The 12,707-nt window shown below is 40.0% G+C and overlaps 1 protein-coding gene and 1 long non-coding RNA gene across 13 annotated transcripts in view, besides 2 other annotated features; both read left to right on the forward strand.

Moving 5' to 3' along the window:
* LOC124903189 (uncharacterized) lies at nucleotides 6,834–7,545 on the forward strand. The gene is made up of 2 exons (XR_007063831.1): nucleotides 6,834–7,118; nucleotides 7,303–7,545. It is a non-coding gene; the product is annotated as an uncharacterized LOC124903189 (long non-coding RNA).
* Nucleotides 8,392–8,686: a silencer, noted in NCBI's record as "tiled region #6090; HepG2 Repressive DNase unmatched - State 4:PromP". NCBI's record gives its function as "represses a minimal TATA promoter and a strong SV40 promoter by Sharpr-MPRA in HepG2 cells {active_cell/tissue: HepG2}" and the evidence as "EXISTENCE:reporter gene assay evidence [ECO:0000049][PMID:27701403]".
* Nucleotides 8,393–8,662: a silencer, noted in NCBI's record as "silent region_5433". NCBI's record gives its function as "represses an Ori minimal core promoter by ATAC-STARR-seq in GM12878 lymphoblastoid cells {active_cell/tissue: GM12878}" and the evidence as "EXISTENCE:reporter gene assay evidence [ECO:0000049][PMID:35858748]".
* GPC5 (glypican 5) overlaps nucleotides 8,578–12,707 on the forward strand; it is a 1,468,617-nt gene continuing 1,464,487 nt past the window's right edge. For all 12 annotated transcript variants that reach the window (NM_004466.6, XM_017020435.3, XM_011521054.4 and 9 more), the window contains exon 1: nucleotides 8,578–9,166. In NM_004466.6, coding sequence (NP_004457.1) covers nucleotides 9,004–9,166 — 163 coding nt within the window. In that variant the 5' untranslated portion in view covers nucleotides 8,578–9,003. The remainder of the gene's footprint in view (nucleotides 9,167–12,707) is intronic.

Genomic DNA, 12,707 nt, shown 5'->3' on the forward strand with positions numbered 1-12,707 from the left:
TTTAAAGAGAAAGCTTGGGGACGTTGGAATGAAGAAGATGAATATGAGAGAAAAGTGGATGACTTGATAAGTCATGTAATTTATATTACGTAGAGGTAATAAAGGAGAAAGAATATGAACATTCTGGTTTAGCACGGATGATTTTATTAACAAAAAGAACAGACCTCAGGCTCTTGTGTTTGTCAATAAGTTTAACAATGGATAAGGGAGAGTGTGAACTGGGGAGAAGATAATAACATCCCTTTGTTAAAAATAGAGTTTGAGATGATGGTAGAATACCCAAATTAAAAAGCAGATGGGGTAGATAAGAGGCCAGACCTAGAGAGAAACGTCTCTGGATATTTAGCACAGATGCTAGAGGTGAAGGCGTAAGCCTTCAGTATTCATTTTCTAGGGCTGCCAAACCCACAAACTTGGGGGCTTAATACAGAATTGTATTCTTTCAAGTTTCCAGAAATATCCATAGGTCTGAAATCAAAATGTCAGCAGGGTTGGTTCCTCCTGGAGGCTCCGAGGGAAGAGCCATCTCATTCCTCTTTTTTAAAAATTTTATTTTAAGTTCTGGGATTACATGTGCATGATGTGCAGATTTGTTACACAGGCAAACGTGTGCCATGGTGGTTTACTGCACCTATCAACCCATCACCTAGTTATCCTCAGCAAACTAACAAAGGAAAGAAAACCAAATACCACATCAGGCTCATTCCTCTCTTAACGTCAGGTGGTTGACAGCAATCCTTGGCATTTTTTTGGGTTGCAGCTGAATCACTCTAATCTTTGCCTCCATCTCATATCTCCTCCTTCTCTGTCTGCGTCTCCTCTTATAAGGACACCAGTCATTGGATTTAAATCTTGGATGATTTCATCTTAAGATCCTTAATTAATAACACCTGCAAAGATCCCAGCTCCAAATAAAGTAACATTCTGATATTCAAAATGCATGGGTGGACATGAATTTTGAGGGGAAACTATTTAACCCAGGACACCTTCCTAGGAAGAATAACTAGAAAAGCAAGGCCTAGGGCATAAGTCTTGGGAAATTTGGAGGCAGGGGAAAGGTAGAAAATAGGCAAAAGAATAGACAAAGAAATGTTGGAGAGCTAGGAGAAGACTGAGGACGGTGAATTTTCAGGAAAGCTGAAGGGGACAGAAATTTTACGAGAGTGTTTAGCAATGTCAGACTCAGCAGATATATGAAAAAAGTTGGCCGTGTGGTTTCGGACTAATCTGATATACAGAGATCAGGAAAGTAGCTAGATCATTTGGAAATATTGGCAGGAAAAGGAAAGTGAGGAAAAACTAGGATGCTATATAGGAAACAGAGCCCAGATGAAATGATACATATTTTCCTAAGATAAGAAGGGCCTAAATACATTATCCAGAAGCAGAAAGATGGCAATGATGTACAGTCTCCTCTGGCATATCCAGAGAGAGTATTGTTCTCTCTTCTCTCAAAATTTGGATCAAGAAGAGAATTCAAAAGTGGTCAGAGCAAAGGGTTTCTCCTTTCTGCTTGATAGCATGAACTGCTTGTACCTTTTCATATGCAAATGTAAAGAATTAAGCCGAATATTAATTAAATTGGAAAGACAATTGTAAAGTAATATTACATCTAGGGAGAGTTAATAAGGGTGGTACATGGTCCTTATTTATAAATAGCAGAGATTAAACATGATAAAAGGGATTCTTACATGGAACAATTAAAGATCAATTATGACAATGGTACACAGCAGCGAAAGCCTCTGGAAAAACTTCCTACTCATTAATCAAAGATAATTATCAATTATAAGGCTTAATTATTAGGAGAGAGTCTACATTTTGCATCTTAAAAAGCTGATGATAATTAGTTTCCAGATCCTGCTCTAAGTGCTCATTATGTTCAGAGAAGAGTGACTCTTTTACCTTTAAAAATGACTTTTAGCTCATGACCTTGAGCAACTTAAAATCTCCTGTACCTACGTTGAGTTGAGATGATGCTCATTTGTTCCATTACTCAAAAAAATAGTTTGATAGGTGCATAACTGCTATACGACATGAAAGAACCATATTACAAATATGGGGAGGGCAAGAGGTTTTACTTTTGAATTGTTATTGAGTTTAGAGGAGAGGGCTTATTACCTTAAATACCTCTAGGATGTAACTAATAGAGCACAAATTAATGGCAGGTATTTTTTTCAAGTGGGGAAGAAGAATAATGTCTAGTTATTGAGTGGTCACATAATCCAAGAATTGTACAAAATACTTCACATATATTATCTCAGTTAACCCTATCAACATTATAACATAGATGTTGTGTTTTCCCCTCATTTTACATAGTAAGTAAAGGAAATATCAGAGTGGTTTTAACAACCACCAAAGTGACACAGATAATGAATACCCATTCTGGAGAATATTTGATAACTAGCATTAAAAGTAATTTTATCTGAAAATATTTAAGATAGTATAATGTCAAAGTTGCAGGAAATTAATTAGGAAAATAATTCTTTATCTCTTGATTGAATAATTCATTTAGTGGTAACATTAACATTTTAAAACATCTACCTCAAATTTTTAATCATAAAAAGTAATGACAAGAAGTGAAACAGACATTAAAGATTTACTGAAAGTCAAATCTAGAAGATGAAGTGATCACAAATAGCTTGAGAAATTACAACCTGGTTTTGAAGATGTTTATTGATACTATTCTATCAGATAGTGAATTTTCCACTTTGAAAGTAATATAATAATTTAGGGATTAAGTGAAGTTAAAAAGTGGACTGCTGCTTAAAAAAGAATCAAAGATTTTAATAAAGATAACATAGGACACATGAGATTATCAACCTTATAGCAGCCAAATTCATTCAATAAAGTTATGCAATGACTACAGAGGGTAGAAGTGGATATGCGCAGGCTCACTTGACCTCAGAAGGCTTATCATCTGGCAGATAAACTCTTGTGGCCCCTTAGTTCTCAGGTTAAACAGCCAGCAACATTAGGTATACAATCTTATAAAGGTTAGAGACTTTTTCCCTAGTTTAATTTCTGGAAAACATTCACCTAAGCAAGATTATGTATTTCATGTAGTTAACAACTGGATTTATTGGTTAATATAATTATTTTTCCTTAAGCTGTTGATATAATTAATGATACAATGAAATTCTGGATGTAAATTTCACTCTATTTGGAAACCAAAAATAGTTGGTGCAAAACCAACATTTGAAAGTGAGAGAAATGTGTAGTATATTCATTTCCATTATGTTGTAATTATACATACAATTTACACATGCAATGTATATTGCAACTTTGAGGGACACGGTTTTAACATTCTTACATTATAGACTAGAAGAAAATTATTTGAAGACATTTGGCTTCATAAAATCATTGAGTGTTGCTGGTTTCTTTTCCTAGTCTTCTTTCTAATACTGTAGATTCTCTTTTTGAAAGCAACTATTATTTTTATTTCTCCATAAGTTCTCTGAAAGAAATGAAATGTCTTTCATTAGAAATTGCAAATATAAAACATGTAAAATTAAAGATAGTACAAAATACTTTTGAAATTTTCACACAGTAACAGTATTTATTTAAGGCTTTTTGTGAAATAGTTAACATTGTCTTTGCCTTGAAGCACACTCACTATGAGATAATGACATAAGTACATCTAAAATATTTAAAAATCATTGATAAACATGTACTGATGATTATGAGGATTTTCAAACTGAAAATATAGATTAGTGGTATACAGACACACATGTGTGTGTATATATATACACATTAGTGGTATACTGACACGTGTGTGTGTGTGTGTGTGTGATTTTTGAAAATGTTTGCTGATCAAAGATTCCCACTGACTGTCATGTTAATTTCAGTTTGGTGTCTGGTTTTGAGTATTTTATGTAATATTTTATTTGCTGTGTAGTCTCTCCTTTAGGCAGCCTTGCCTTCTCCTCTCCTCTCCTCGCCTCGCCTTACCTCGCCTCACCTCTCCTCTCTTCTTTTTTCGTTTCTTTTGAGACAGGGTCTCACGCTGTTACCCAGGCTGGAATGCAGTGGTGCGAACATGGCTCACTGCAGCCTCAACCTGCTGGGCTCAAGTGATCCTCCTACTTTAGCCTCCCAAGCTGCTGGGGCTTACAGGCATGTGCCATTATGCCTGGCCATTTTTTTGGAATTTTTGTAGAGACAGAGTTTCCCTATGTTGCCCAGGCTGGTCTCAAACTCCTGGGCTCAAGTGATCCTCCTGCCTTAGCCTCCCAAAGTGCTGAGATTACGGGCGAGAGCTACTGTGCCCGGTGGTGATTTTTTTTTTTTTTAACAGAACCATTACTATCTTCACTAGAGGAGATTTCAGGGGAGTATCACTCAATTTTCTCCTGGTTACTTGGTGGCAGAAATTCATTACTGGGGCAGCTCGGGCTGACATCCAACTTGGTTCTCTTTATTGTGCAACCAACGGCTTAGAGCCTACATCGGAGGGAGAGAGAAGGTAGGGCAAGACAAAAGTCAGCACTTTTTTGGAAATAATGAAGTGGAAGTTATTTGTATTAAGGATATTCTTTCTCTGACAACCTCCTTTTCACCCAGTTGATGAAAGAGGGATCCCCCTTTGTAAATTATACGAGATGATCAAACACACAAGACTGGACAGATGAGATTTACAGCAGTTTGTTAGTCACACATACTCATAGCCCAGGGGAGGAGGCTACCACATGCCATGCAGGGCCATACAGGGGAGGAGGGGCTTCATTTGGGAGCAGAGTGAACCTGCAGGAGTTGTGGGAGGCAAGCTTTGTAGTAACAAGAAGATGGTGTGTTGTGGGGAGGACCCCTTGGTTCCCACAGGAGGATGTGATTATCTTGTTGGACTAATTGCTCTGAAGGGAGGTGAAAGCCATTAGGTTGAAGACAGGGTGGGATGGAGCTGGTCCAGCTAAGGGAGGTAGCCAGCAAGCAAGACTTTCCATCTGGGTGGGGGGCATATCTGGCCAGAGCAGGAGAACTCATGACTAGGGACCTGTGAGGCTCAAAGATGTCAAGGCAGTTCGTGGGATTTTAGTGCTTGCAAAACAGTTCTCCTAGTTAAAAGCTTAGTGGAGGTAGGAAGTAGGAGCAGGTAGTACCTTGGCCAGCCCCACGTCAGTGAGGTACTATCAGGCCATCGTTGAAGCCAATGCAGAGCTCTGGACCACTATAACCAAGGTGTTCAGCAGGTTGTCCACATGGATAGCTGTGAGTACCAGAGTTTATATTTATATGATAGGTTGAGTTCAAGGGGCCACAAACCAGGTGTCTGGCTTTTCAGGCAGGCGAGTGTAGTGACTAAAGGGGTACAAAAGTTATGAAGCCTGGCTTGCATTTGGGCTCTTATCAGGATTTCTGGAAGGTTATTTAATCTCTTTGTACTTCAGTTTTCTCAGTAGTATAATAGTAACTGTCTCATGGAATGGTTGAAATGTTAAATGAGATAATATCTGTAAGTGCTTAATAAATCTTAGCTCTTGTCATTGACTGGGTATAAAAGTTACCCAAATCAGCTTCTGAGGGTAAACTAATTAGTGGCCAGTCTTAGCCTAAAAGAATAGTCAGGGTTGAAGACTCTGTGATATCATTAAATCACCTAAACCACACTGGAGGTTTTCTTTCTTTCTTTTTTTTTGTGAGATGGAGTCTCACTCTGTCCCCCAGGCTGGAGTCCTGTGGCACGATCTGGGCTCACTGCAATCTCTGCCTCCTGGGTTCAAGCGATTCTCCTGCCTCAGCCTCTTGAGTAGCTGGGATTACAGGCATGGGCCACCACACCCACCTAATTTTCATATTTTTAGTAGAGATGGAGTTTCACCATGTTGGCCAGATGCTCTCGATCTCCTGACCTCGTGATCCACCCGCCTCAGCCTCCCAAAGTGCTGGGATTACAGGCGTGAACCACCGCACCCGGCCGAGGTTTTTTATTTCTCTTTACAAGGTCCTAAGTTGACAAACTATAAACATATAAACAGTTACATAGAAAGTATCAGGGAAGTTTTGGATTTAGAATATTACTAAGCTGTATTTTAAATAATGACCATTTAAGGATTCTCCTATCCAAGGGTATTGGTATTTTGAAAGCAAAGCGCAATGCCTATTATATAAAAGACATTCAATACATTTTTTAAATACATTTTGTAAAATAAGGCATTATAACTATCAAATTATGGACAGTTTTCCCTAGCTTCATTTGTAATGTTTACCAGTAAATTGAATAAAAGGCTAGTTATGGTATAATTTGCAGAGGTTGCTCTAGAATGTTCTTATAAAAGGGATCGTGGCATTGTGTTCTGGGTGGAACTAGAAAACTTGTCTTGAAGCTTGGTAGCTTCAGTAGCAGGCATACTGTTGCCTTGCGTGGTGGGCTTAGGGATGCTAATAGGACAAGATGCCCTTCCAGGCCACATGCTGGCTCATCCACTTTGCTAGCAGTTATGGATAAGAGGTAGAAGGAAAATATATTTATTTTTTGTTAATGGGGATATTTTATACAGACTAAATATATTCTTGTTAGTTCCTATGGCATTTCTATAAATGACCTCCCACCTGTTTTGTTAACTTATAAAATCACTGAGAAAACTTGCTTGTGTGTCTCTTTAAACTCCTGTTAAGCCTAGAATAGCGGTTAAAAAAATTGTATGTTTTCAACCAATATGTATTAGTCAATTAGCTTTTACTGAACCATCAATACTCAGTTGTGTTTATGATTTTTATCCTTGCAAGACACACCGTTTTAGAGATTCCAGTTAATGGGATAGATGGTAATTTAAGGATCTTTTTGATGCTAAGAGTCTAAGATGATCAAATCTATCAAGGAGAGATCTTGGTAACAATAAAGATGTTTTAGAAAAACTTGGGAATTTATTAGCCTTATATAGAGATACACATAATTCCAGTAGAATACAGTTATATAGATAGAAATTATGCATATTTACTAGTAAAAAATCTGCTAAATGAATAAACAGCCCTTGGTGTTGCTGCCCAAAGGCCTTTGGTGAAACCTGATGGGTTTTTCTGTACCACAGAATAGTCAAGGAGAGCCTCTGGAGAAGAGCATGCGGTCTGGATTTGGAAGCCTCAGTTTGATTTCTGGCTTTGTCACTTACCTTAGGCATTCAGTAAGTCACTTCACCTCTGTGTTCCTGTTTCCTCATCTGTAAAACAATGATAATAGTAGTAACTACTTTATAAGGTTGTTATAAAGATTACATGAGTGAATTCATTTCCATAAAATACTTAGAATATTATCTGGCCCATAAGCACTATATACATTCTCATGGTTTTTCTTGTTTCTTTTCATAGATATAGGTGGCTTCCAGACAATCTTTCCATACTTGGTGGTTAGAGCAGAAGAGATTCATGAAGAGCACTGCCCTTTGAAACAAAATCTCATATTCAGAAAACTGATGCCAAACACCAAGTAGCATGATTTCACTCTGAAGCAGTGTTTCAGCCATTGCCCTGGAATGGTTTTAAAGCAAGTGATATACTGCTGAAAGTGCTGCCTTTGATATTAAATGTTCATTAAAAATCTTCACTAAGACATAAAGTTTTTCACTACTATCTCTTGGTAAGGGTTCAAATTTGAGATGAAATTCCTTAAAGTGGTTAAAGCATTCATTGTCCCCTCTGCCTGATGCTTTTAACTAGTTTATTTTACAGAAGGAGTACTCTCTTCAAGTGGCTGTAGATTGAGACACTCTTACAGGCTTAGTTGTTGAGTCAACCACATTTAAAAAATGCACCTGCCCTTTGGTTTATGGTGCGTAATGCATTCCTCTCATAAACTGTAAATTGACAAAATTCCTTTGCCATTTTAAAATTGCTTAAAGTATTTATTTTTCTATATTCCTTGTAAGGAACTCCCCTGAGCACTCTTAACTTAATTGCTCTCTGAAAAATATTTTAAAGAAATTCCAGAAGTGGTAAAGCTCAGAGGAGCCCCACAAATACAAAGTGCTGAAGTAAAATATGATGCTAAATGGTGATAAGAGACTTAAAACTAGATTTCATTGTGATAAGAATGTGATAAAGTTTGATTGTAATTCTTATACCTCCTTTCAGAAAATCATGTTATAGAAAAATGTTCCTAAGCAGTAAAACAAAGCCATTTTAAAAAATAACTTCTCATGTGCACTCTTTAACAACCTAAGTGTTATGAAGTCTCTCAATTGAGATCTTTAACCGTAAATAGTTTTTGCCTTTTGTATTATGTCCAGATCCTATTTAATGCAATTAGAATACAAATTCCTATGTACTGAGGACCTTGATTACATAGATGAGATATTTCTTAGTTCCAGTTGGTGTTTCTCATCTCTTGTCTTCTCTGACCCTATTTATACATTCTCTGTTTTTATCAGATGATTCTTCCCCAGAACGGACTGGGAGAGCGAGGTCCGGGTTTCCTTCTATTTATTTGCATCGATGTCGCTCCGAGTCTTCAGCACTGGGCCGCGTATGACAGCATCTTAGTGGGTGCGGAGCGGGACAGCGCGCCGGGGGCGTGGCAGGGGCGTGGCCTGTCCGCGGGGCGGGGAGTGCGGGGCGGGGCTTCCGCGGAGCGCAGCGAGCGGGCACATCCCAGGTTAGCTGCTGCGAGCCGAGCCGGGCGGCGGAGGCGGCGGCGGCGGCGGCAGTGGCGGCAGTGGCGGCAGTGGCGGCAGCGGCAGCAGTTGCAGCAGTGGTGGCCAGAGCGGATGCTTGCGGGCTCCCTGCGGCTCCACTAGTTTTCTTCGCCCCGCCCAGCCGCCCACTCTTCTCGGCTAGGGAAGAAGACCAGAGGGTGCTCAGCTGGAAAACTCTGGTGTCTCAGCTTAGGGCCTCCTCCGGGAAGAGCTAACTGCTCCCAGGTGAAGCCGGTGCCCGCGGGCGGTCCGTACACCCCGCAGCCGGCTCGCACCGCTCGAGAGCCTCGGCCGCTGTGTCTTCCACGTCTGCAGCTCAGCCAGGGCGCGCAGGGCGAGTGGGGTCCACTGGCGGGTAAAGGGGACCAGGACGGCGAGGATGGACGCACAGACCTGGCCCGTGGGCTTTCGCTGCCTCCTCCTTCTGGCCCTGGTTGGGTCCGCCCGCAGCGAGGGCGTGCAGACCTGCGAAGAAGTTCGGAAACTTTTCCAGTGGCGGCTGCTGGGAGCTGTCAGGGGGCTGCCGGATTCGCCGCGGGCAGGTAAGGGGCAATGAGGGGGTCTCTGGACTGGCGGCGTCCGAGCCCGGCCTTCGCTCCCCCAGGCTCCCTTGGTGGCACTCGTGGGAAGATGACCTTTCGGGCCCTGCAGCCGCGCAGGGTGAATCCCGGGGAGGCTTCCGGGGATGCTTGGTGCGGGTAGCCTGAGTGCAGCGCAGCGCAGCTCTGGGGACCCCTAACCAAGCCTGCGACGAATCCCCGTTCTGGGCATCTGCTTCCCGCCCGGCTCCCTTCGTCTTGGAGGATGAGTTGGAAGGAACCAGGAAAGCAGACATCAGGGCGTGGGGGACACGCAGTCTAACTCCGTTTCTCTTCCGAGTAGGAATTTCCCCAGTGCCCCACCGGGGATTTCGGTTTACTGCTTTCTCATAAGGTGGAGGGAATTGAATTGATCGCCCCAAGTTTGGTACTAAAAATCACAAACCTGCGATATACCCCTTTGCTGGAGAATGGGGCACAGACAAGGGCAGCCGGTCTCCTCTGTAATTAGGACTTGGACCCTGTGCACCCAGAGACGTGACCCTTAGCTGCCCTTCTGTGCCCTCGTATCAAGCCCTGCTTGGAGGAAACCCAACCACCCAGTGTGTCTCCCAGCACCAAGGTAGTTTTTAGCCTGAAAAGTGTTAGGGCAACAGGCGATCAAACCGAACGTACTGGGGAGTCACTTGACATGGATGAGATGTACCAGCGTTCCAAAGGGAAAGATACAGTTTGTGTGGCCAGCGTGGATCTTGCTTCCTGTGAGCGCCTTTTGCCTGTGCTTTCGAACCCTGCTCCCCGTTTCCACCGCACCAATTTCCTTCTGCTGGTGGGAGTTCCAGTGTAGGTTCTGTCTGGAAGAATAGGTCATAGCTGTCAAACGCAATAGCAGGTGTCTAGAGCTAAGTAAGATCTCACTAGAGCCATGCACCCCTTTAGCTGTGACTATGAAGCCAACACAGACGAATCTGTGAGGTTACTGGTTGAACAAAGAACTTGTGGAGGACGCTTAAGTCTAAAGTCCCGAGTTTCCAGGGTTGGGGGACTTGCTTGTAGCAATGAGGAAGTGTGAGCTGTAGCCGCTTTTCTTGATTGCTTTGCTCAATTTTAAGTCATCCCAGAAAGAAAATCTAGGCATTCGGGAACACTGACTCCATTTGAGTTTACATGACCAGTCTTAAACCCAGCTATTTCTTTGTATACCTGTTTGGTACTAGGTGCTTTTTCTGTATTACTTGAAACAAAGTTGACATTCTCAGTTTAGGGCGATTCTTCTATCCCCAAATAAAATATCGCCTTATAGATCTGTATTTTTCTTAGTGCATTCTTTTCATTAGGAAATAAATCTCACTTTATTGGCTGCTGATAAAACTAAAGTGAGTTTGTGCGTGTGGGTGGTGAGGGTGTTATGATGTGAGATCTTTACCTGAATTATTAGATTTTTAGTCCCCAAATATGGTAACTTTGCCTGCTATGTTCACCGAATGTTGATGGCCAGCCCCTTCTCCCCAGTAAGGCCCTGATTTCACTCCACTCTGGTATCTCAGTATTTCTGGTATCTGCTGAATGCAACACATTGATTGGGTGTTCATCTCTTTTAAAGATGAACTTTCCAGAGTATCAGTCACTGAGACAGTGTCTTACCAGGATGTCAGGGAAAACTAAAGCTCTGTCCTAAGGAGAGGGAAATGACTGTAATTATTTGCATTTGATACACATGACACACAAAAAAGTTCCATGACGACAAGGAATCTTTCTTTTCTAAGTCACTCTGGATTGTTTCCCCATTGCTAGTAGATTTTTTAAATCTGTGGCTGAAGGTGATGGAGGAATCACGGGAGCACTCACAGAAGAGGCTTAGAGACATCAGTGGTACTGGTGAAAAGAAATGCTAAGTTCCTTTAATATTTTCACTAAGAAAAAGTCACACAAAAGTGCTATGCTGATTTAGATCCACCCCCCAAAAAAGGCATTCATATAGGAATTTGATATAATTCTGAAGTTTTGTGTCTGTATTGTTGGTCATTCTTTTACAAATAATTCAGCAAAATATTAAACTTTTTTAAACACTGATTCCTCTCATCTCTCTAAAAAAAAAAACCCCTCAATCCCAAATTGAGTAAACCAAACATACCACATGCTTAATAAATAATTTTCTTTCTTTTTGTATTTATATATGATCTACAACATTTAACATGATTGAATATGGTAATTGACTATCATATTTTCTAAGATTATCCTCAATCTCAAGAGAGAACATAATTTAGTCATTTCTCCATGAGAATACAAATAGTAATATCTTTTAACAAATCTATTCATTTAGCACATACCCTTTCACTGACTAAAACAAACACATTTAATTTGATTTTGTTTTTGGAAGTACGTATTTTTACTGCTTTCTTGCATTTCTTGTTCACAGTGGTTAATCCCTGAGATGTCTAGCCAAAACACAGTTTGTATAATATAAGCAGGTAGAATAAGTTTTTAGTTTCTTCCTACCTTTGTGACTTTTACTTTTTCTGATAAAAATGTTATCCAAATTGAAATTATTAAAATTGTGAGAGCAGTGATTTAAACTGTTTCTCAGATTCCCCTCACCTTTGTTCTCTACCCTGCTCCAATTCTTTTAAGCCTATTGAGCTCCTAAGGATGTTTGGATGAGAAATGTAAAAAAGGAGAGAAGGTGTAAATGTGATTAGAATTAGAGATTTCCCTGTGTTCCGATTTTATTTTCTAAGTAGTAGTCAAGGTGCCCTTTGCTCTTGTTTATTTTATTCAGAAAAGAACTGTTACTGAAAGTGTCTTTTAAAGGTCTTTTCATTTTTATTTTATTTATTGGGGATGGGGATAATGCTTTTCTATTAAAATTCTCTTTGCACATGCATTGTGCATTGTTCACACATGCAGTAGTTCCTCTTTTAGAGGGTAGTTCAGAAAGGGGAAGTTCATAAAAAATAATACATTTAGATAATTTATATACCAACTATTTTTTGAAATATGCATGTTTGTTGATATAGAAATCTATAGCAAGTATACTCTCGATATCAAGTAGTCTGTGAAAGTAACTTTTCCTTGGTAGATTTTGGCTATAAATAGAGTAATAAAAATAAACTCTTGACATGGCTAAGTGAAATTTTAATACTAAAAGACACTGTAAGCAGTGCTCTGAAGTTGTTGTTGTTTTTTAAACTGCTTTCATTATAATCAAATCTTATTATTGCTCCAAGGACAGTGTAGTTTCATTCTCACACCTAAGAAAAATGATCTGCTTGGTAACCTTGGAGTTTGGATTTACTGGATAGACATTTGGCTTTCAAAACTTGGTTCTACCACTTGTAGTTCTGCTTCATAGACAAATTATCATCTTGAACCTCTGTTTTCTCATTTAGAAATAGGAATATTCTTAAAAAGTGTTTGCATAGATAAAATGAAATAATGTAAAATGTCACAAATCCAGGCACATAGTAAGTGCTGAAAATATGTTCTTGTTGTCATTATAATTTTTTTGTTTACTGTCTTGATTTTAACTTGATTTTTAAGGATG

The sequence above is a fragment of the Homo sapiens genome, chromosome 13 (assembly GCF_000001405.40).
Source record: "Homo sapiens chromosome 13, GRCh38.p14 Primary Assembly".
Lineage (NCBI taxonomy): Eukaryota > Metazoa > Chordata > Mammalia > Primates > Hominidae > Homo > Homo sapiens.